A 20,586-nucleotide genomic window follows, 5' to 3' on the forward strand; every position below is an offset into this window, starting at 1 on the left:
AAAAAAAAACCTGTAGTTTTCAAGAGTATTTGGTATTTCTAAATTGTTAAGAGACTGACCTGTAATACACATGAGGAGGACTGCCTGGCACAAAGGCAGGATAGGCCAGGCGCAGTGGCTCATGCCCATAATCCCAGCACTTTGGGAGGCTGAGGTGGGCAGATCACTTGAGGCCAGGAGTTCAAGACCAGCCTGGGCTACATGGCAGGTATCCATCTCTACAAAAAAAAAAATTAAAAAATTACCCAGGTGTGGTGGCATTTGCCTGCAATCCCAGTGCTTTGGGAGGTCGAGGCAGGAAGATCACTCGAGCCCTGGAGGTCGAGGCTGCAGTGAGCTACGATTGTGCCACTGCACTCTAGCCTGGGCGACAGAGTGAGACCTCATCTCAAAAAAAAAGAAAAAGAAAAGGCAGGATTACCCCGAACTTAAAAAGTACCAACTAGGAGTTAGCCAACTAAGAGATAACATTTACTGAGCATTTATTACGTGTATGTACACAACTCTGTGTAGTAACTCTTTATTTAGTTCTCAAAACAACCTCAGAAGGTAGGTACCAGTATCATTCTCATTCCACAGACGAGGAAACTTTACACATGGAGGTTATGGACCTTAGCCAAGTTCACACAACCTAATGGAGCCAGAGATGACTACTTACAGTGTGACCCCGGAAATTCTTTAACTACTCTAAGTCTCCATTCCTTCATCTGTGCAGTGGGGATCTCTACCCCTATGGGATTGTTTTGGGAATTAAATAATACACATTTTTTAATGTCTTGGGAAATTTAAGTCAATTTGGCCCAGCAAGGGAAATATATGAAGAAGCTATAGCCATGAACACTACTCAGGCTAATATCTACAGTGATTAATTGACAGATCTAATAGTACAGTGCTCTAAACAAAAATGGAAAAAGAAATGACCAGAAGGAAGGCCTTTCTTGGCCTTATGCTGCAATTTAACTACTTCTTCCTCTACTGAACTCCTTAAGAAGCATTGGGGCAACTGTTGGTAAAGGCTGTGTTTTATTTTCTGGGAGAGGACTAAAACAATCCATGAGCACTGTTTCATTTGCACCAGGACTCTCCTATTGAGGGGTAGAGGAGAGTGGTTTCAAAGGGGGAGAGAGAATAGAAGAAAACAACCAGTTATTTGAAGGGCTTTCTCAAACTACATCCACATCCTGAAGATTTAAATACTTGCCCCACCTCATTAGCAGCACCTGACTCTGTGGCCCATCCCCCACCCTAAGGCCTTGACTCTTCAAGTGTGTAAGGGCGGAACCAGGGTTGATAACCACTAATTTAACCAAACAGTTTCAATCTGTGGTTCTCAGAGTGTGGGGACCAGCAGCATCAGCATCACGTAGAAACCTGTTAGAAATGCAAATTTATAAATCCCTTCCCAGGACTACAGACTCGGAAACCTTGAGGGTAGAGCCCAGCAATCTGTGTTTTAGCAAGTCTTCACGGTGAGTCTGAAGCTCTCTAGAGTTTGAGATCCACTGGTCTAAGCTCTTATTTACACAAGCAGTTTAACATCGTGTGATTGGAGGAAAGTTCAAGAACGTGTGTTCATGCAGTAATCACTTCCTAAAAATCACTAAACTGGCACTTTTATAATCTTCCTGATCAGATAAAACATCTAAATCCTTACACATAAAGACATCTGTGAAAGGAAAATAAATCTTGGAACCCCAGACTCACTAAGCCTAAAGGAAAAGTCAAGCTGGGTCATGCAAACCTGCCTCCCATTATGGTTCCTAGATAAGATGGCTACAAAGATGAAAAGCTACACACCTCCCTCACACTTGGCCCCTGAAGAAATCCTTGTGGGCCCCGAGATCTCTACCCTAAAGCAGTTCTGTTGAAGGTCACCAAGGCAATGTGAATTGATAGCTTATCTTCACAGGCGTGGGGACATAGGACAGGACTCAAAATCATCCCTCCACTCACCTGAGACAAATGTATATCTCACTGCTTCTTCTGCTGTATTTGTCTATGTTGTCTTATGTAAAAATACAGATTCGCTGATTCAGACAAAGGCATGAATGTTTTCCCCTACCGATTTCTCATATGAAAATTGTGTATTTCCCAATATCCTGCCCTTTCTCCTTTAAATACTGAAGCCCTCAAAATCATCTTCAGAGAAAGGCATAGACCTGCCTCCCAGGCACATATCCTTAACTTTGGCAAATAAACCTCACGAAATAATTGAGACTTGCCTCAGATATTTTCTTTGATTTACACATTAAAAGGAATATAGATTTTAAAACATTATTCTTGTTCTTAATTCATTTTAAAGCAAAATAACTTCCCATATGTGAACTGTGATAAGATTTTGAATTTTTTTCTAAAGAATGGCTTCAGAAAGGGCAAAGAAGTTCCTATATAAATTGCAATTTTCTCAACACTCCCAACTTAAAATATTTGTACACAGAAATCATTAACAATTAATTCCTTGACATATTTCAGGTGTTATCTTCTCTTTCCTTGAGGGAAACAATTCCTCAAACAGAACTATGATTTTTGGGGGGCAGCTATACCTCCTTTGGTCTTACTTTACTCTTGAAGAAATATAAGAATGAAATAAATACCCAGGTCAGGAAGGACAGGCTTAGTTAGGAACCAAGCTGTCTTCTTTTATCTTGAAATATTCATGCTACCTGAAAAAAGAGACACTTGAGACATTTTTTAAAAAATTAAGACTTAAATGAATTAATCTTTGTTAAAGTAGCAAAGTACATGAGAAAATACCAAGAAAATAGTGTTTCATGTATTTTGGGAATTAAAAAGGGACTTAGATTCTGAAATGCCAGCTGACTTTTACATGTTTTATTATTTTTTTCAAGAACTTGTGATTACGTTTTCTGAACAAGGCACAATGTCATCAGTCGATATAGGCACAAATTGACCAAGAAGAAAAACAAGTTATTTCTCCATGTATCATAAATGGATCCATTTGGGGTGAACACGGTTAATAATTAGGGGTTATGACATTGAACAGGATATGTCATCAATGCAGAATCTAAACAGGGATGGTAAATTCCATTACCCAGTAAACTTTCATGCATAAAAATAAAAAATGAATAGGAATTCATGGAATTAAAACCTAATGCAGAGTACATGTGTTAAGTATAGTGTTGATATGTTTCTATTCTTTCGGTGTATTTTTTAAAAATTCCTATATATATAGATAGATAGAGAGAGAGAGAGAGAGAGAGATACAATAGCAGCTTGAAATGAGTAAGTTTAAACTCTTTTCCAGTCAACATTTTGGGAAGGTTTTCAAAAGGATTTTCTTCTGCATTGTTCCTATTATTTTCACCTATACTCCTAAAAGTACATAAGAAATGAGTATTATTTTGACCTACTGTCAATCTAAATCATCATGTGATTCCTTCTTCCACTCAACAAACACGTATTTGACACCTACCCTGTGCTAGGCACAGAAACCCACCCCATCAGAAACATTCATCCATTGGAAAAACAGGTAAGTAACTATACAGCCATGCATCACTTAACGATGGGAATATGCTCTGAGAAACACGTCCTTAGGCAATTTCATCACTGTGCAAACATCATAGGGTGTCCTTACACACACCTAGATGGTATTGCCTACCATACACCTAGGCTCTATAGCATATAGCCTATTGCTCCTGGGCTACTAACCCGTACTGCATACTCAACACTGCAGGCAATTTTAACACCATGGTAAATATTTGTGTATCTAAACATATCTAAATATAGAAAAGACAGTAAAAACATGGTAAAGCCAGGCATGGTGGCTCATGCCTGTAATTCTAGCAATTTTGGAGGCCAAGGCAGGTGGACCACCTGAGGTCAGGAGTTCAAGACCAGCCTGGCCAACATGGTGAAACCCTGTGTTTACTAAAAATACAAAAACAAACAAACAAACAAAAATTAGCCAGGCTGGGTGGCCGGCGCCTGTAATCCCAGCTACTTGGGAGACTGAGGCAGGAGAATCGTTTGAACCCGGGAGGCAGAGGTTGCAGTGAGCCAAAATCACACTACTGCACTCCAGACTGGGTGATAGAGTGAGACTCCATCTCAAAAAAAAAAAAAAAAATTGGGACCATCACCCTATATACAGTCAACTCACTGACTGAAACATCATTTTTTTGAGACGGAGTTTCACTCTTGTTGCCCAGGCTGGAGTGCAGTGGCACACGATCTCGGCTCACTGCAAACTCCGCCTCCTGGGTTCAAGCAATTCTCCTGCCTCAGCCTTCCGAGTAGCTGAGATTACAGGTGCCCGCCACCACGCCTGGCTAATTTTTGTATTTTAGTAAAGACAGGGTTTCACCATGTTGGTCAGGCTGATCTCAAACTCCTGACCTCAGGTGATCCACATGTCTCGGCCTCCCAAAGTGCTGGGATTACAGGCGTGAGCCACCAAGCCCGGCCGACTGAAATATCGTTATGGGGCTCATCACTATAATCATATTACAGTGTAAATGCTATGACAGAACTTGTATTTAAAGTATTACGTCATTGAAACCAAATGTTTATGAGAATGTGGCTGAACTCAACATACTAAGGATTTCTCTTAAATTTTACACAATACGTTTTGAAACTATTGTCCATGAATTCATTGAACCCATTTTTAGTATGCTTATATTTTCACCTGTACTACTTCTTAAAAGTAACAAGTTCTGTCAATTTACGTCAGCTCTGTAAAATAGCAGGGCATTTCCTTTTACTTAGTCCTAAAACTACCTTCTCTAAGAGGAGCCTCTTGGTTTTAGTACTCTAAGATTTTGTGAACTAAACATTAGAAACATAAATTATGATTATGTAAATTTAAAATCATACACTTAGCCTGTCTTTTCTTACATGACCCACTCAAGCATTATTATCTCTTGGATTTTTTTTTATACGACCACATGTAGTTATCTCTGTGTTACCAAGCCACAGTCCTATGTCACTTTTTTTTTTAAGAGATGGGGTCTTGTTCTGTCGCCCAGGTTAAAGCACAGTGGCACTGCCATCCTTGCTCACCACTGCAGCCTTGAACCCAGTGGCTCAAACGATCTCCGACCTCAGCCTACCAAGTTGCTGGAACTACAGGTATGCACCACCATGCCAAGCTAATTAAAAAAAAAAAATTTTAGAGGTGGGGTCCTTACTATGTTGCCTAGGCCTGTCTTGACATCCTGAGCTCAGACTGTCTTCCCATCTCAGCCTCCTGAGTAGCTGGGATGAAAGGTGTGATCCACCATACCCGGCAGTTTTGTATCACTTAAAGTCACATAACTTGCTTTTGTTTTACCAGAAACAACCCTTTAAATTTACCAGACTTGGTTATATATTATTTTTGGTTACATACAAAAATTTTAAAAATCAATCCCACCATTAAAGGGTTAGAATATGACAACTGGGGATATCAGAATTTCATCCAACAAATGTTTATGAGTGCCTCACAAGCATTACCATCTAGCTTATTTGCTAACTCCGCTTCATAGGACAAAATGTTAACATGTGCAATTACCATAGTCACGGAAAAGTAGCTACAATTTCTTATGTTCACAGCTTTAATAAAAGTAAAATATCTTATGGCTGGGCACAGTGGCTCATGCCTGTAATCCCAGCACTTTGAGAGGCTGAGGCAGTTGGATCACCTGAGGTCAGGAGTTCGAGACCAGCCTGGCCAACATGGTGAAACCCCATCTCTACTAAAAATACAAAAATTAGCCAGGTGTGGTGGTGCATGCCTGTAATGCCAGCTACTTGCGAGGCTGAGGCATGAGAATCTTTTGAGCCTGGGAGAAAGAGGTTGCAGTGAGCCGAGATCTCACCACTGTACTCCAGCCTGGGTGACTGAGTGAGACGTCTCAAAAAAACAGGTAAAATATCTTAAAGTTACCAATAAGTAGAAATAGAATACAGCATCCAGTGTCTTTCACTGTAGATTTCATTTTTCTTAACAAAGCCATAATGCCTACCTATAAGATAAAATTTTAGAGGTTTTAGTTAACAAGCAAGTGTACTTATGGTGATACTGTTCTGAGATGAGCAGATATCCATCTCTGCTACCTCAGGATGACACTTCATTTACAAAAATACTATACAATTACTGTCTCAGGTTTAGATTAGCAGCTAATTAATAACTGAAGTTATTTGGGATTCTATCCCATCCCCAATTCTCTACCCCACCACTAATGTTCTCGGAATCTATCATTCAAAGGGTCTTATCTCTACCATGCAGTTCGAATAGAATATTCATTTTTAGTTACATTTAGTCCCATTTAGTTTTGTTCTACTGCTGATTTTCCTATTCACGTTTTTATCCTACAACACTCTCTATCACATATACCAAGACTGCTCTTCAATGCCTTAAGGGAACACACAATCCCCCCGATTCTTCAGCATCCTCTCATAATCTGTCTCATCATTTCTAAAACCTTTGCAAAGATTTTTTTGCATTAAAAGGTGAGTCAACACATAAACATGAATGAAATTTACATACTAACCTATCTCTATTTTCTTTATGTCTTACAGCCAGGAGGAGTCTGTGGTTTTTTCATTTTTTTCCCCCCAAAGAGTTTCCCTGGTGATATATTCAATAATTAATGAACCAAATGAAATCTCCTGTTCATAAATTTTAATTCCCATAGTAAGGTTAACACAAACCATGAAAACTAATATCTAAGTTTAAAATTTTTAATTACTAAGTTTTTTGTTTTTTAGACCACACGGCAAGGAGATCACATTTTTCAGGGTGTTTTTTTTTTTTTTTTAACCTCTCAACCGCTTCCCTAGAGCCCTTTTAATACGTAATACAGATAACTAAGATCCCTTGTTGACAAATTTCAATTTCCTCAAGTACTTAACTGCCTACCATGTTCCATTTAAATACACAGTTTCATCGGCACGGTGGCATGCACCTATAGTCCCAGATACTTAAGAGGCTGAGATGTGAGGATTGCTTGAGCCTGGGAAGTCAAGGCTGTAGTAAGCCATGATCGTACCACTGCACTCCAGTCTGTGTGACAGAGAGAGACTCTGTCTCAAAAAGTATATACATGCATACATATATAATTTAATTTGCAGAATTCTAGAATGTCTTAAATTATTTCCTTATAAAAACTAGCCACGGTAAGCCTTTTTAACTATCCTAAACATAATGTATATAATTTACGTCACATGCCAATTAGACATAAAACCTCATTCAGCTTAAGCTGCCTTACTGGGTTTTTAATTTCACTTACCAAGTAGTTAATGACAAATTTTCATATTTTAAACAATCTCTGGGTAAAGGTGTTTAGTTGAAAAACTGAATATAAAAATAAGGAGAAAAAAAATGAGTCAAGCCATTGCTAAGTGTTGCCATTAAAAAAAAAAATTAAAAATCCTATATAAGAGCCTAGCAATTATTAGTTCTTTGAGCATAGAGGCCATTGTCCTCATCTTGTCCCTCCCAAAGTAGTATTCTCTCTTTCTTCAGCTATAGAGAAATTGATAGAATCTGTTCCATAGAGAAAGTAGATTTCATTAATTTCTCCACAGCTGAAAATTCATGACAAGCTAAAAGTAAGAGAGTAGAAACAGTAAGGCCTCTAAAAAGAGTACTTTATACTTTTTTTTCCTTTCTTTCTTTTTTTAAGACAGGGTCTCCTCTGTCACCCAGGCTGGAGTGCAGTGGCATGATCATAGTTCACTGCAACCTCTGCCTCTTGCGCTCAATCAATCTTCCTACCCTAGCCTTCCGAGTAGCTGGAACTACAGGCGTACACCACCACGCTTGGCTAATTTTTGTATTTTTTTGTAGAGATGGGGTTTCACCATGTTGCCCAGGCTGGTCTTAAACTCCTAGGCTCAAGCAATCTGCCTGCCTCAGCCTCCCAAAGTACTGGGATTACAGGCATGAGCCACTGCAACTGGCCAACACTTTTGCATAATAGGTAAGAATTAATGTTTAAGGATATTCATTAACCAATTGTATATATGACAACAAATTAAAAATATAAATAGGAGAGTAGTTATGATGCATTCATACAGTGAAATATTATGCAGCTATTAAGAAGACAGCGCTCTGACTTGCAGAGATACTAAGAATAATGATATCTTCTGAGCGAATTCTTTTTTAGAGGGTTCCTACTGCAAGTAAGACAAGCATCTCAGTGGGAGTTTGTCCTTACCCAGTAAGGTATACTACATTTCTTTTGTAATAACTACACAGTATATGAACAAACCCTGCTAAAGCCAAAAGTGGAGGAACAATTAAGCTGTTACTGCCATAAATATGAAATATAGACACTAAGAGAAACTTTATATTATTTCAGCAAGTCAGTAGCATCTGAGTGTAGAAACATTTCATGTGATTTCTATTTCAAAAAAGATAAAATAACACATCTTTCAGCAATTCTGGAAGAAAAGGCTCTCTATAAACATACTGGAAAATGGAACTGAGGAACACACACTGTGAACTTACCAAGCATTTTTCTGTCCATAACTATTGCTCCAAAGGAAATTCTCCGGTCCCTGTACCATCCACACGACCTTGGCACAAAGGTGGTAGTGAAGCATGAAGATTTAGGGCACTGACTCTGGTCCTCCACTGCTGGAGTTTGAACACTGGCTTCACCACTTGTGTACGTTAACCGACACATGGTAGTCAATAAAGGTTCACTGAAATTATTACTACAGTTGAGAGAAAGAGGTCTTTGAACTAAAGATGGAAAAATATTAAAATACTTCAAGGGACAGAAGTATATTTAAGCAGGAATTCTTTTAAGAGATCCAAACATTTTGGGTGTGCTCAATAGGTTATTTTTTCATCCTAAGCCAGATCTCTCTTCAAATCTGTGGCTCATTTTCTTTTCATTCTTTCTAATCGTATTGTAATTATTCAGGAGGCTTAACTAAAGTTAAAATTTTCAAATCTATTTTTTTTAAGTTAATTATCCAGTTTGTGATCTAGGTTCTTGTATTTTAGTTTCTTCTTGACCTATTCTACTCACTTGCCGCTTATTATCATCACTCCACCAGAGGGCATACAAAAGAAAGGTGATAACGTGAAAACACTCAAAGTTGGTAACTTGTTAGCTTTCAGAGAAGCTGTAGCAGCATCACCAAACACCTTACGTAGCACTAACGCTGTAAGATTCTCTGGAAACCGTCTTCTCCATTTGAAACGGCATTAGCTAAGATACAACAAATATTAATTCATGCATTCATTCCTTCATTCAACAAATATCTGAGTCCCGACCATGTGCCAAACATATTCTAGGCTCTAGAGATTCGGTAGTAAACAAAACAAAACTTCCTATTGCCACAGTGCTTTGTTCTGTATCTGTCTAGGAGATAAATAATACAGCACATCAATAACATAATTTTAAGTACAGATAAGTCGTATGCAAGAAAAAAACTGCAAGAACTTCAAGAGGTTAGAGGGTGACGAGGAAGGCTATTTTCAAATAAATTAAGTAAGGACTGAATGAAATGAGAGGATGAGCTATGTCTTCATTGGGAGAAAGCATTACAGGCAGAACAGCAAGCAAAGGCCCAGGCAGAAACTAACCTGACATGCTGGACCTACAGCAGTGACGATGGCGAGGCTGGAAGAGAGTGAGCAGGGCAGAGAGCAGCAGATGAGACTAGAAGGGTGTGCCAGAGCCCAGTCACCGTCTCTTGATCATGGTATTAAAAAAAAAAAAAAAAAAAATCCTGATTTTTTTTCAGATGGGGTCTCACTCTATTGCCCAGGCACAAACATGGCTCACTGCAACTTTGACCTCCTGGACTCAAGCAATCCTCCCGCCTCAGACTCCCATGTAGCTGAGACCACAGATATGCACCACCACGCCTGGCTAAAACGTTTTTATTTTATCTAACAATAATGGGTTCTGACGACTGAGATATAACCTGCTTTGATTTACCTCTTTTAAAGTTCATGCTGGCTGGTGGGAGACAGAGAGTGGAAGCTGACAAACCAGTTGGGGGGCTCCTGCAGTCATCCAGGCCAGGGAAGAATACAGTTTGACACCAGGGTGGTGGTGGTGGCAGTGCAGGTGATAGGAATGGTCAAATTAACTTTTTAAAAAAGATGGTCCAATCTGCAGTGATTTTGAAGGTAGAGCCCATAATACTTGCTGTTGAAGGAATAGATTTAGAATGAGTGAAATGGGGAATTAGAATTTTTAGCCTCAGCAACTGGTGGATGGTGGTACCATTGACTGAGATGGAGAAGAATGAGAAACTGTAGCCAATGAGGCAGGATGAAAATCAGAAAGAGCGGTGTCCCAGAAGCCAAGGGGAAACGACATTTTGATAGGGAAGGAGTTATCTGTTGCCTGTGTCAAATGTGGCTGAAGATCCAGTTTGGCAAGACTGACATCCCTGGTGACCTGGAGAAGAATTGTTTCATGGAGTAGGAGGGATAATGTGTCTCTGAAGCGGGTTCAGAAGAAGATGGCAGATAAGGAGTAGAGACAGCCTACATGGAGTCCCTTCAAAGATTTTCTTTTTGAAGCAAAGCTGCATTGTTATTGTTTGAAGTTTTATTTTTAACTTTTCATTTCTCCCAGTGCTGGGATTACAGGTGTGAGCCACCGCGCCTGGCCTGTTTCATGTTTTCATTTCTCTTCTTCCACGTTGGAAACCCTAGTTCCCAAAATATCAATGAATTTACTCATTTGCTCAATCCTATAATGCACACAAAATAGTTTCAGAATTGCTACACCTCTACCATACAAATAATAGCCTACTACACAGAGTTCAAGATTATTTTTTCAGTTCTTTAATCTTTAATCCTGTGCTCAAAACTTACTTGGTTTTTTTTTTTTTCTTCTGGGAGTTTATATTATTCACATAAATACACGGTTTGTTGTTGCTGTTTGTATTGTTTTGGAGTCCCACTCTCCACATCTTGTTAATTTTATTTTTGAACATAAAAAAGACTAACAGTTTCCAAAACTCAAAACTATGCAAAAAAGTACATTCAGAACAAGGCCATTCCTTCTGTTGTTCCCATTTACTCAGTTCCTACCCGGTGCCTGTAGGTAACTAATTAGTTTCTGGTTCTCACTCCTGTATTTATTTTTTGTTCTGTCAAAAAACTACGCTTCCTCAAGGTGAGGTAGAGAAATGAGGCAGGGCCAGACGCCGTGGCTCACGCCTGTAATCCTAACACTTTGGGAGGCTGAGGTGGGTGGACTGCTTGAGCCCAAGAGTTCAAGACCAGCCTGGGCAACACAGCGAGATCCCGCTTCTATTTATAAAAATAAATAAATAAAAAGAAATGAGGCAGTCACTGAAGCAGAACACTGGATCAAGAAACCATTTTATTTTAAAATGGCAGACTGTACAATAATGTAAATGATTCTGTAGTAACTGACAAATTGAAGGTGCAGGAGAGAGTATGATAAATTGCAGAGGGAAATATCCATCAAAATATCCTCTAGTTTAATTTGAGGGATATCAAAGGGTTCTCATATCCCAAAATTGACCGCAATCCTGTTTGTAACCTTCCAAATTAGTTATAACTCTATCTCTAGAGAACCCACATTAAAATGGAGTTACTGTTTTATCAAGATAATTAAGCCATCACTACCTATTAATATCAATAGGATACACTGTGCCCTGGCAAAAGGGAGGTTTTGAACTTGGAACAAGACATTTAACTAGGAGTAGAGTGGTGAGAAGAGAATGGCTGATGTGAGAAGCTGTATAAAAACATGGGACAGACAATAATGATCATGCTGGAAAAACAAACATGCTTCTGGCATGTCTTGGATATTTTACACACATGCTAATGAGTAATTGAGGGTCACTCCTCATGCCCTCGAACTAAGTTAATATGGCTCAGGGGAAAGAACATGGACTTTGGAAACAGAGGGGTCTTGCTTCGAATCCCAGTTGAGTTACCTAACACCTACATGACCACTGCCAAGTTACTTAAAACCTCACAGACAATTTCCTTACCTGTGGAAGTAGATAATGGTGTTACTGTGAGATATAAGTAGAATAACTTACAGCACTGCCCCAGCCCAGAAGAGATATTTTAATAAATAAGTCCATAACAGACGCAGATTAAAATAGTCAGCAAGGTAAAGAAACTGATGATACAGCCAGCTGACTTCAATAACATGCCTAAGAGAAATCACACCATCTCAGGCAGTATTTGGTAAGGCCAGAAGAATGTCCAACACTTAGTTCCAATTCTTAATTTTCAAATTGCCCCAGAGTCTATTTTTAAAGTGTAAAAGTATGTGCTGACATACTTACATGCCAATTGTTTAAAAGAAACAATTCTACAGGTTAACAAAGGCCAAAGACTCGGAATAACTTCCTAAATAATGTTTATGGGCCCACAAAGAGTTGAACCAACCTAAAATATCACAAGCTGTATCAATCAGTTTTATAAATGTATATACAGAGGGTTGACAACGTTCAATAAGATGATATTTTAAAAGTTTCTATTTCAGTTTCAAATTCATCTACAAACCAAAATGCAACATGGAAAATCTTAAAATGTCTTTAAGCCACATACTGAAATATACAGTAAATTTTCAGAGCCTAGGATCAGTAGTAAACCAAAAGCCCCAAACTGAAGAGTATTAAAATGAACAATGGCAGAGACTCGAAGCACACAATTTTGAATGCACCTAATCAGCCGTCCTCCTCTCCGACTAGAAATAACTTCCCTCCCATCTTAAATTAAGTAGCGTGTGTTCTGTCTCTGTCCTAGAAGATGTACTTAATGGTCATAAACTCTGTTTGCAACACTGAGACGGACTCATAATAAAAGTTCTAATCAACAATTAAATTTTGAACGTTTTAAGAAAACTTCCCGCTAAGCCACACGCCAAGCTACTTTGTCGGTGGCTGAGAGGGAGAAAGATGCATCCTTATCCTTTATGGAAAGAGAAAGGGAAGGAGTGGGAGAAAAGGGAACACAAGGAGACGAAAAATAACAAAGTATTGCTTGTATAAACAAATGAAAGCCTGGTTTCAAACTTTTGAAAATTCAACGTTCCCTTAGCGAATAGCAATACATATCAAAGTATATGGCAATCATCTGTGTTCTGAAGCAGAAAAAGGTGGAGAGAAAAGCAAAACACTTTTTATTGTACTGAACTCACAAGTATTCAAAATTCATCAATCCCCTCCCATCCCCAAACTCTGGACATTATATCATTTCCAAAATAAATCTGAAACAAAACCATTGGACTAATTTTGGACTCAGCGTAGAACTTTTATGAGTCTTCCAAGCACTCTCCACCCAACAGCCCTGCTGGGCAGTCCCGAATACCCGTTATTTTGGGGGCACGCACGGGCTCGTGCTCTGAGTTCCTGGAAGGAGGCCTCGGGGAGTGACGAGAAACCAGGGGGGTCTGCAGGACTTGGACCGCCGACCGTTCCTCGCTCCCCGGGGCGAGCGGTCTGGACCGCCCGGGAAGTGCCTGCGCCGGCGGTCGTGGGGCCAGTTCCCGCGTGGCAGCTGGGCGCGACACAGGCGCGCCCTCCTCGTCCCTCCCGGGCAGCGTCGGCCGCCCGAGCCCGGGGAGACCCGCCCCGCCCCGCGCCGTCACCCGGGCCCCGTTCCGCAGGGGTGGCTCGCGGCGCCCCACGTCCCTGCGAGAAGCCCGGGATCGCTTCGCGGGGCGCACCGACGAGCCGCCGCTCGCGAGCTCGCCGCCTACCTGGAGGGAGCTCAGGCCCGCGTCGACCGCGCGCTGCCGGTGTCCGCTGGGCGCTCAGCAGCCCCTGGAGCGCGGAGCCGGCGTGGAGAGCGCAGCTCACAGCCGAGACCAGAGCCGCCGGCCACACCCAGTCCCGCACCTCCCAGCAGCCAACTCCGCGGCGCGCCGGAGCCGGGGCGGGGACGTGGCTGGAGGCGCGAGGCGCGAGGCACGAGGCGCGCGGGCCCGGCGGGGACGTGCCGGGGACGCGCAGACCCTCGGAGCGCGCGCAGCCCGGGCGGGGGGCGAAGGGAGCGGGCGCCGCGCGCAGCTTCTGCTTCCTATTTTCTCTCTCGTTTCCTGCCAGAAGGAGAAGAAAAACATTCATTCCCGGGCAGTTTCGTTTTCTTGTTGGTGTGGCGCCGGGGCACGCTGCTAAGTAGCGCCCGTCTAAGTGGCGTGGCCAGTTTCCTTTCCGGCGCTGACAGGCGCCAGTTTGCTTGTTAGCAGGATCGAAGGGCAGAGCTAGAAGACCCCAAAGGCCCCATTTAGGTTTCCCATTCTGGAATTCTAAATGTCAGAAAGTAAACTGAAGCCCAGAGTTGCACAACCTTGCGTTGCAGTCCCCGCTCTTCCATCACTAGTTGTAGGACCGTGTACCGTCTCGGGCCTAAGTTTCGTCATCGCCAAAATAAAGATACTGATACCTGCCTCATAAAGGTGCTAAGCATATTAAATGAAGTGATGTTTGCACGAAGCCTGCCTCCAAATAAATGGCCAATACTTGGAAGTTATTGTTCCTATTGTCATTGATAAAACTGGAAGGCCTTCCAGATATCCCTGCCAAGTCGCTCTTCTCTGCATGAGTTAAACACCACATGCATCTCAATCGAGTTTTTTTTTTTTTCACATTTATCTGGGTGTTTTATGTTTAAAATGTCATAAAATAAATGCATCTATCCAATTTGCTTCCTCTGAAGTCAGTACCGCCTGGGAGCATTTTTCCTCTCCCCACCCCCATTTTTCTTCTGAGTTAATTCCAGTTTGACAGACTGTTGCTATAGCATTCCTTCTCTGACGTCAAACAATTTAAAGAAACAGCCCTGGGTAGCGAAAACTGCAGAGGAGTTCTTTGTGGAGTTTCTGTGCCGGAGAAATGTTCGAACAATATCATCAGATAACTTTAACAACCCCTCAGCCTTCCAATCCTCCTTCTGTAGCTGCTTCCCACTATCACCTGGAATAAATCTATTAGTCCCTTGAAAGAGGTGATGCCATGATAAACACACCCTGTTTGTGACTGTGGGGAAAATGTGACCGTTTTGTATAAAAGCCAGGCCGTGACAAAAATAGAAGCAGCTGTTTCTATTTTCTTTATCCACAGATAAAGAAACTGTGGATAATTTTTCCCCCAAAATTTTCATTTTTACTAATATTAGGAGCATTTTTCCATTAAGAAGAAAGAAATGCCAAATATTCTGCATATCAAAGTGTCAGAAGAGCTCGTTGGGACATGAGTGTTTTGCATCTGTAACTATTTATGTTTTAATGATTAAATCCTGAGTTTTATGATTGTCGTTTTTCGGAGGAAGCAAAGGGAAATTGTTAAAGAGTGCCTATTACGGACCATGCTCTCTGCTTTCTTATACTGTACTTAATCCTCATAATTACCTTGAAGTGTGAATTTTATCCCCATTTTACAGATAAGCAAACTGATGCCCTGGTAAGATTAATTTATCGGAGTCACGAAGGTATTGGTAGAGCCCTGCATGACATCAGATTGGATCAACTCCAAAGCCCACATTCTTTCTTTTTTTTGTTTGTTTTTTTGTTTTGAGACGGAGTCACTGTGCAGTGATGTGATGTCAGCTCACTGCAACCTCCACCTCCAGGATTCAAGCGATTCTCGTGTCTCAGCCTCCCAAGTCTGGGATTACAGGCACAAGCCACCACGCCCGGCTGATTTTTTGTATTTTTAGTAGACACGGGGTTTCACCGTGTTGACCAGGCTGGTCTCAATCTGCTGACCTCAGGTGATCCGCCCACCTCGGCCTCCCAAAGTGCTGGAATTACAGGCGTGAGCCACCGATCCCGGCCCCATATTCTTTCTTTAGATTCTTTTCTGCCTTGTTCCTGTGCACTAGCATTTACCAGATGTTATAAAGCTTTGAGAGCTGGTTGTTGGGTTAAGATTATTTGTTGAAAAACAAGTTGCTGGTATTTAGGAAAACACAGTGGGAAGCAATGAGATAGTCTATTCCAGAAAAGATGAGGGGAAATATAAATGAACAGCTCCTAAACATAAAATACAAAACCTGAAAAGATGTAACAAGAATTTGACTGTCTTTTAAAGAGTTTAAAAGAATGATATCGTCAATCTTCCTGAAAATTTAATGTAGACAAAGAAATTACTAGAAGAATAAAGTCCAAGTACAGAAAAAGGAAAGTTTAATTATTATCCAAACGAATCTACTTCCAAGAATATTGTATTTCTGTTTTGCCATACCTGCTCCATATTGTTCTGGAAAAAAAAAAAAAAACTTACTTGTTAAAGGACAAGCCTATACTGAAAATCTGAAAGTGGAGCTGATTAAAAGAATTTTGTCATCAGGAATGATTTCATAAGAGCACACTAATGCATCTAAGTGATCCAGCAATTCATGATTTTTCCAATGATAATGAAATCCACGAAGAACAAAAGAGAGAGACTGGGAAGGGAGGCAGAGAGAAAGGTGAAGGGGTATGCTATTAACATTTCTGATGCCTGCTGGTTTGTGTAGACAATTGTAGAGATGTATCCTACTTCTGAGGATTAAGCCCCATGATCTTTTGTTTGGGTGCCACTGGCTGATAATTAGATTTCTAACTCATTAGGCCCATGTTCTCAAATCCTACTCTATTAAGAGAGCATAGTGGGGTCCCTACTAGAGAACCTTTGAAGACAAAATCCTTGTCCGTTTCATCTTTGTGTCTGCCATAGTGTTTAACAGAGCACCTTGCATTTGCTAGGTACTCCACGAACAAATAAATGAGTGAATGCACTTGGCTGCTTGTTTTATGCAAATAACCTGCATACCTCACCCCATCCCACACGCTAGTCAGAATCATAGGAGAGGAGAAAGTGGTCATTGCTTTTCTAGGAGTTTAGTTACAGTTTCTTTTGCAGGGTGTTTTGCTTCACTATGATCAAGTTCAGAGAAGCTCTGCTCTTGGTCCTACATTGGATGAATCTGAATGCTGTACTCAGTGAGCTACCCTGTAATCCATAGTGCCATAGGTTTGTATATCCTGCTTTTAAGTTTTACCCTAGAAATGGTCTATATTTTTTTCTGAGCCTACCTTGCTCTCAGACGATGCCAAGCACACCGTGAAGAACACAGCTATTAAAGTGTACAATATTTCAGTACCGCCCTGTATGTGTTGTATGCATTCCAATTCTATTGTGTTTGAAATGAGGCCAAATTATATACATACAACATCACAACTACCGTAACAGATTTTATTTCACCCACAACAAAATAAGTTATAAAATATTAAATGGAAATTATCTAACAGGATCTACAGCACAGTTTCCCAAGGACATGAGAAGCAATTCCCTAGTAGATTCTGTAAGAAGTCAGTCTATGTGTGGTTTCAGACAGACATCCTTGATACAGAGTAGTCATGCCTAAAGCCTTCCCTCTTGCTCACACACAATGCATTTTCCATATCAAAGTACAGTTTGTACTTTGAGTCACCTTTGCTGTACTCCTCTGACACTGGTGGTACAAATCAGTTATAGCTTTTGTTTATTTCCACTCAGGTTCTCGTTAACCATGGGAATTTGGAATCTGTCATCCAAGTGCATCCCAGTGACCTTAAGAGAGGGTCAATGATATCTGTCACAGGCATGGGAGAGGGAACTAGAAGCATGCAGGCATATATCTGCTGCTCTATGTCCTGTCATTCAGGTCCCTGGAATCAGGGAATTCAGGGAAATCAGGGAATTCAGGTCCCCGGAAAGGGACATGTCAAAGTGAAAAAACACTAAACTGCACATCAGAAGACTTGATTTAGAGCTTTGGCTCTGGTATTAAATGTCTGTGTGATCTTAAGCAGATCTTACCCTGCCAGCATTCTGTCTTAATTATATAAAATGAAGGTGCTGAATTCTAATACGATTGACAAATAGACAACACTGGTGCCATCTCTCAGACTATGTCCGGGGATGACTTCACTAATCAATCGTGGACTCTTGCCCTGTAAGCTTCATTTCATCCCAAGAACTCTTCTGAACACCACATTTTCAAAAGGAACTCTGATCTGTTTCTGTTAAGTGAGTAAAAACATGAGTTTAAAAATGAGATGACATATTAGTTATCTATTGCTCTATTCAAGTCACCAAACTTAGTGGATTAGGACAACAACAATTATTTAATTTGTTCATGAATTTCCAACATGGGCAGGGCTTGGCAGACGTGTTCTCTGTTCCATGCTGGCTCAGATAGTTTGACTCTTATTAAGATGGCACTCTCACATGGCTGGCAAGTTGGTGCTGGCTGCTAGCTGGAAGATCAGCCAGGTGTGTGGGCAGAAACTTCAGTTCCTTTTCACGTAGGGCTTTCCACGGGCTACTTGGAATTCCTTGCATTAGAGTGGCTGGGTTCTAAGAGCAAGTGTTCCAAGAGAACAAGGAGGAAATGCATAGCATTTTTATGACTTAGCCTCAGCAATCACATAGTGTTGCTTCCACTATCCTCACTTGGTCTAGGCAGTCACAAATTCATGTAATAGGGACATAGACTTTTTTTTTTTTTTTTTTTTTTTAGACAAGATCTCGCTCCGTCACTGAGGGTGGAGCGCAGTGGCGCAATCTCAGCTCATTGCAACCTCAGGTGATTCTCGAGCCTCCTGAGTAGGTGGGATTATAGGCATGTGCCACCACATACAGCTAATTTTTTTGTATTTTTGTAGAGGCGGGGTTTCACCATGTTCCCCAGGCTGGATAGACTTATCTAGAGGAACATGTTGAATGCCACATATCATTGCAGCTAACTTCAGAAATATAATCTGCCACAAGCACATTTGCTAACCCTGGATTAATAATCTATGAGAATCCAACAATCTAAGATTCTGTCTTTCCATTCCTTCCTCCCATAGAGTATTGATTTCATTTACGCTAATATGTTCTGTTAGATATTTCAAACAATGGAAAACATCTTGTTTTCCTTACAAATTTGTTTTGGCTTTGCTTTGATTTTAAAACTTATACTGTAAAATTGACCTTTTTTTCTTTTAGTGTGCAGTACTGTGATTTTGAACACATGTACAGATTCATGTAATTATCATTATAATCAGAACAGTTCCATCACTCCCCAAATCTCCCTCATACTATCCATTTACAGCCTTAATTATAGTCACCTCTCTTCCCTACCATGACTCTTGGCAATCATTGATTTGTCCTCTGACCCTAGAGTTCTGTCTTTTTGAGATTATCATATAAGTGGAACCATACAGTATGTACCTTTCGAGACTGTCTTTTCTCACTTAGCATAACACTTTGGTTTTCTTATTGCTGCGCAGCATTCCATGGTATGGAAGTACCACAGTTGGTTTATCCATTTGGCAAATAGTTTTCTGATGGAAACGATTGCTTTGAACTGATACCAAGCCACATAGACCAGACTTCAGACTCTACTTAGGAGGTAAGAAAAGATGAAAAGGAGCCCTGCGGACCAACTCTTACTCTAAACATGTTTATTTGTTGGTAGAAATGCCCATCTCAGTATCATAAACAAACAAACAAAAAATTAAAGAACCTGCTCTTTAGAAAAAAACTCTAAGATCAAGAGAATAATTTTGAATGCCTCTTCTTACCCCAAGGAATATTTAAGAGAAAAAGGATTCATGAATTCAGACTTCCTTTAGCCATTTCCTCTAAATGGACCAGGATATCCAAATCATGTTTTCAAAAGCCCATTTAAATTCTAAGAAAGTCAAGTGAAATTGTTAATGATAGCAAATTCAGTTCAGGTAGAGTGTGTGATGTATTAAAGCTACATTCCACTGGTTTTCCCCTTTGTATAATTATGCTCATTTTGTAGTGCCTAGAATGTAATACAGTACTTTGTATGATTCAGAGGTTTATAATTGGATGACTATTTTATGCCAAACTCTCTCTCTGGGGTCTCACTCATTTCTTATCACATTCTAGCCACAGTCTTAGCACAGCACATGCACCCACCAATTTTCTTCAATTAATGAGGGAGCAAATGAATGCAGAACTCTAAGGGACAGTCTCTGGGAGCTCCATTCATTCATTCTTCTGTAAGTAGTTAATGTGCTCTCAGATAAAAAGGTATCTTCGTATCTATTTAAGAACAAATAGAGTCAGGCTAACAAAATGCTTGGTTCAACATTAATGCTTCTAGGAGTGGAATCTTTTCCTGGCAGGTGAGATAGTCAACGTGGGGTGGAAGTGGAACATGAGTTCCAAGACTTGGGACGGTTTTTACAATTTTCCTTTCACTTCGAGGTAGTAACATTTGAGCACTGAGCTACCTTTACAGCTTCATGTTTCCTTGTGCTGTCATTTTAGTTCTTTTTTTTTTTTTTTTTAAAGACAGAGTCTTGCTCTGTCACCCAGGCTGGAGTGCAGTGGCGCAATCTCGGCTCACTGCAACCTCCGCCTCCCAGGTTCAAGCAATTCTCCTGCCTCAGCCTCCTGAGTAGCTGGAATTACAGGTGCCTGCCACCACGCTCAGGTAATTTTTGTATTTTCAGTACAGACGGGGTTTCACCATATTGACCAGGCTGGTCTTGAACTGCTGATCTCGTGATCCACCCGCCTCGGTCTCCCAAAGTGCTGGGATTACAGGCGTGAGCCACCGCGCCCAGCCCATTTTAGTTCTTAATGTGATGTGGGGAGGGGCAGGGGAGTTGCTCTACCACTTCACCATCCAAA

At 40.8% G+C, this 20,586-nt stretch overlaps 1 protein-coding gene and 1 pseudogene across 5 annotated transcripts in view, besides 3 other annotated features; both read right to left on the minus strand.

Moving 5' to 3' along the window:
• Positions 1–20,586, minus strand: part of GNB4 (G protein subunit beta 4) — a 131,711-nt gene that overhangs the window by 41,594 nt on the left and 69,531 nt on the right. Inside the window, exon 1 of one of the 5 annotated variants that reach the window (NM_021629.4) lies at positions 13,665–13,789. The exons of 2 other annotated variants lie outside the window; for them this stretch is intronic. The gene's annotated coding sequence lies outside the window, so the exon portion shown is untranslated. Of the gene's footprint in view, positions 1–59; positions 3,702–13,295; positions 13,534–13,664; positions 13,790–20,586 lie in introns of those variants that run through there. 2 more of the 5 variants (XM_006713721.3, XM_005247692.3) reach the window with 2 other exon arrangements.
• Positions 5,525–5,676: a silencer, noted in NCBI's record as "fragment chr3:179160994-179161145 (GRCh37/hg19 assembly coordinates)". NCBI's record gives its function as "represses an EF-1alpha promoter that drives an FKBP-Casp9 reporter gene in an ReSE screen in phorbol 12-myristate 13-acetate-treated (for megakaryocytic differentiation) K562 erythroleukemia cells {active_cell/tissue: K562(+PMA)}" and the evidence as "EXISTENCE:reporter gene assay evidence [ECO:0000049][PMID:32094911]".
• Positions 13,360–13,769: a silencer, noted in NCBI's record as "silent region_14918". NCBI's record gives its function as "represses an Ori minimal core promoter by ATAC-STARR-seq in GM12878 lymphoblastoid cells {active_cell/tissue: GM12878}" and the evidence as "EXISTENCE:reporter gene assay evidence [ECO:0000049][PMID:35858748]".
• Positions 13,810–13,959: a silencer, noted in NCBI's record as "silent region_14919". NCBI's record gives its function as "represses an Ori minimal core promoter by ATAC-STARR-seq in GM12878 lymphoblastoid cells {active_cell/tissue: GM12878}" and the evidence as "EXISTENCE:reporter gene assay evidence [ECO:0000049][PMID:35858748]".
• Positions 14,714–14,738, minus strand: RPL29P34 (ribosomal protein L29 pseudogene 34; annotated as a pseudogene).

Source organism: Homo sapiens, chromosome 3, assembly GCF_000001405.40.
Source record: "Homo sapiens chromosome 3, GRCh38.p14 Primary Assembly".
NCBI lineage: Eukaryota > Metazoa > Chordata > Mammalia > Primates > Hominidae > Homo > Homo sapiens.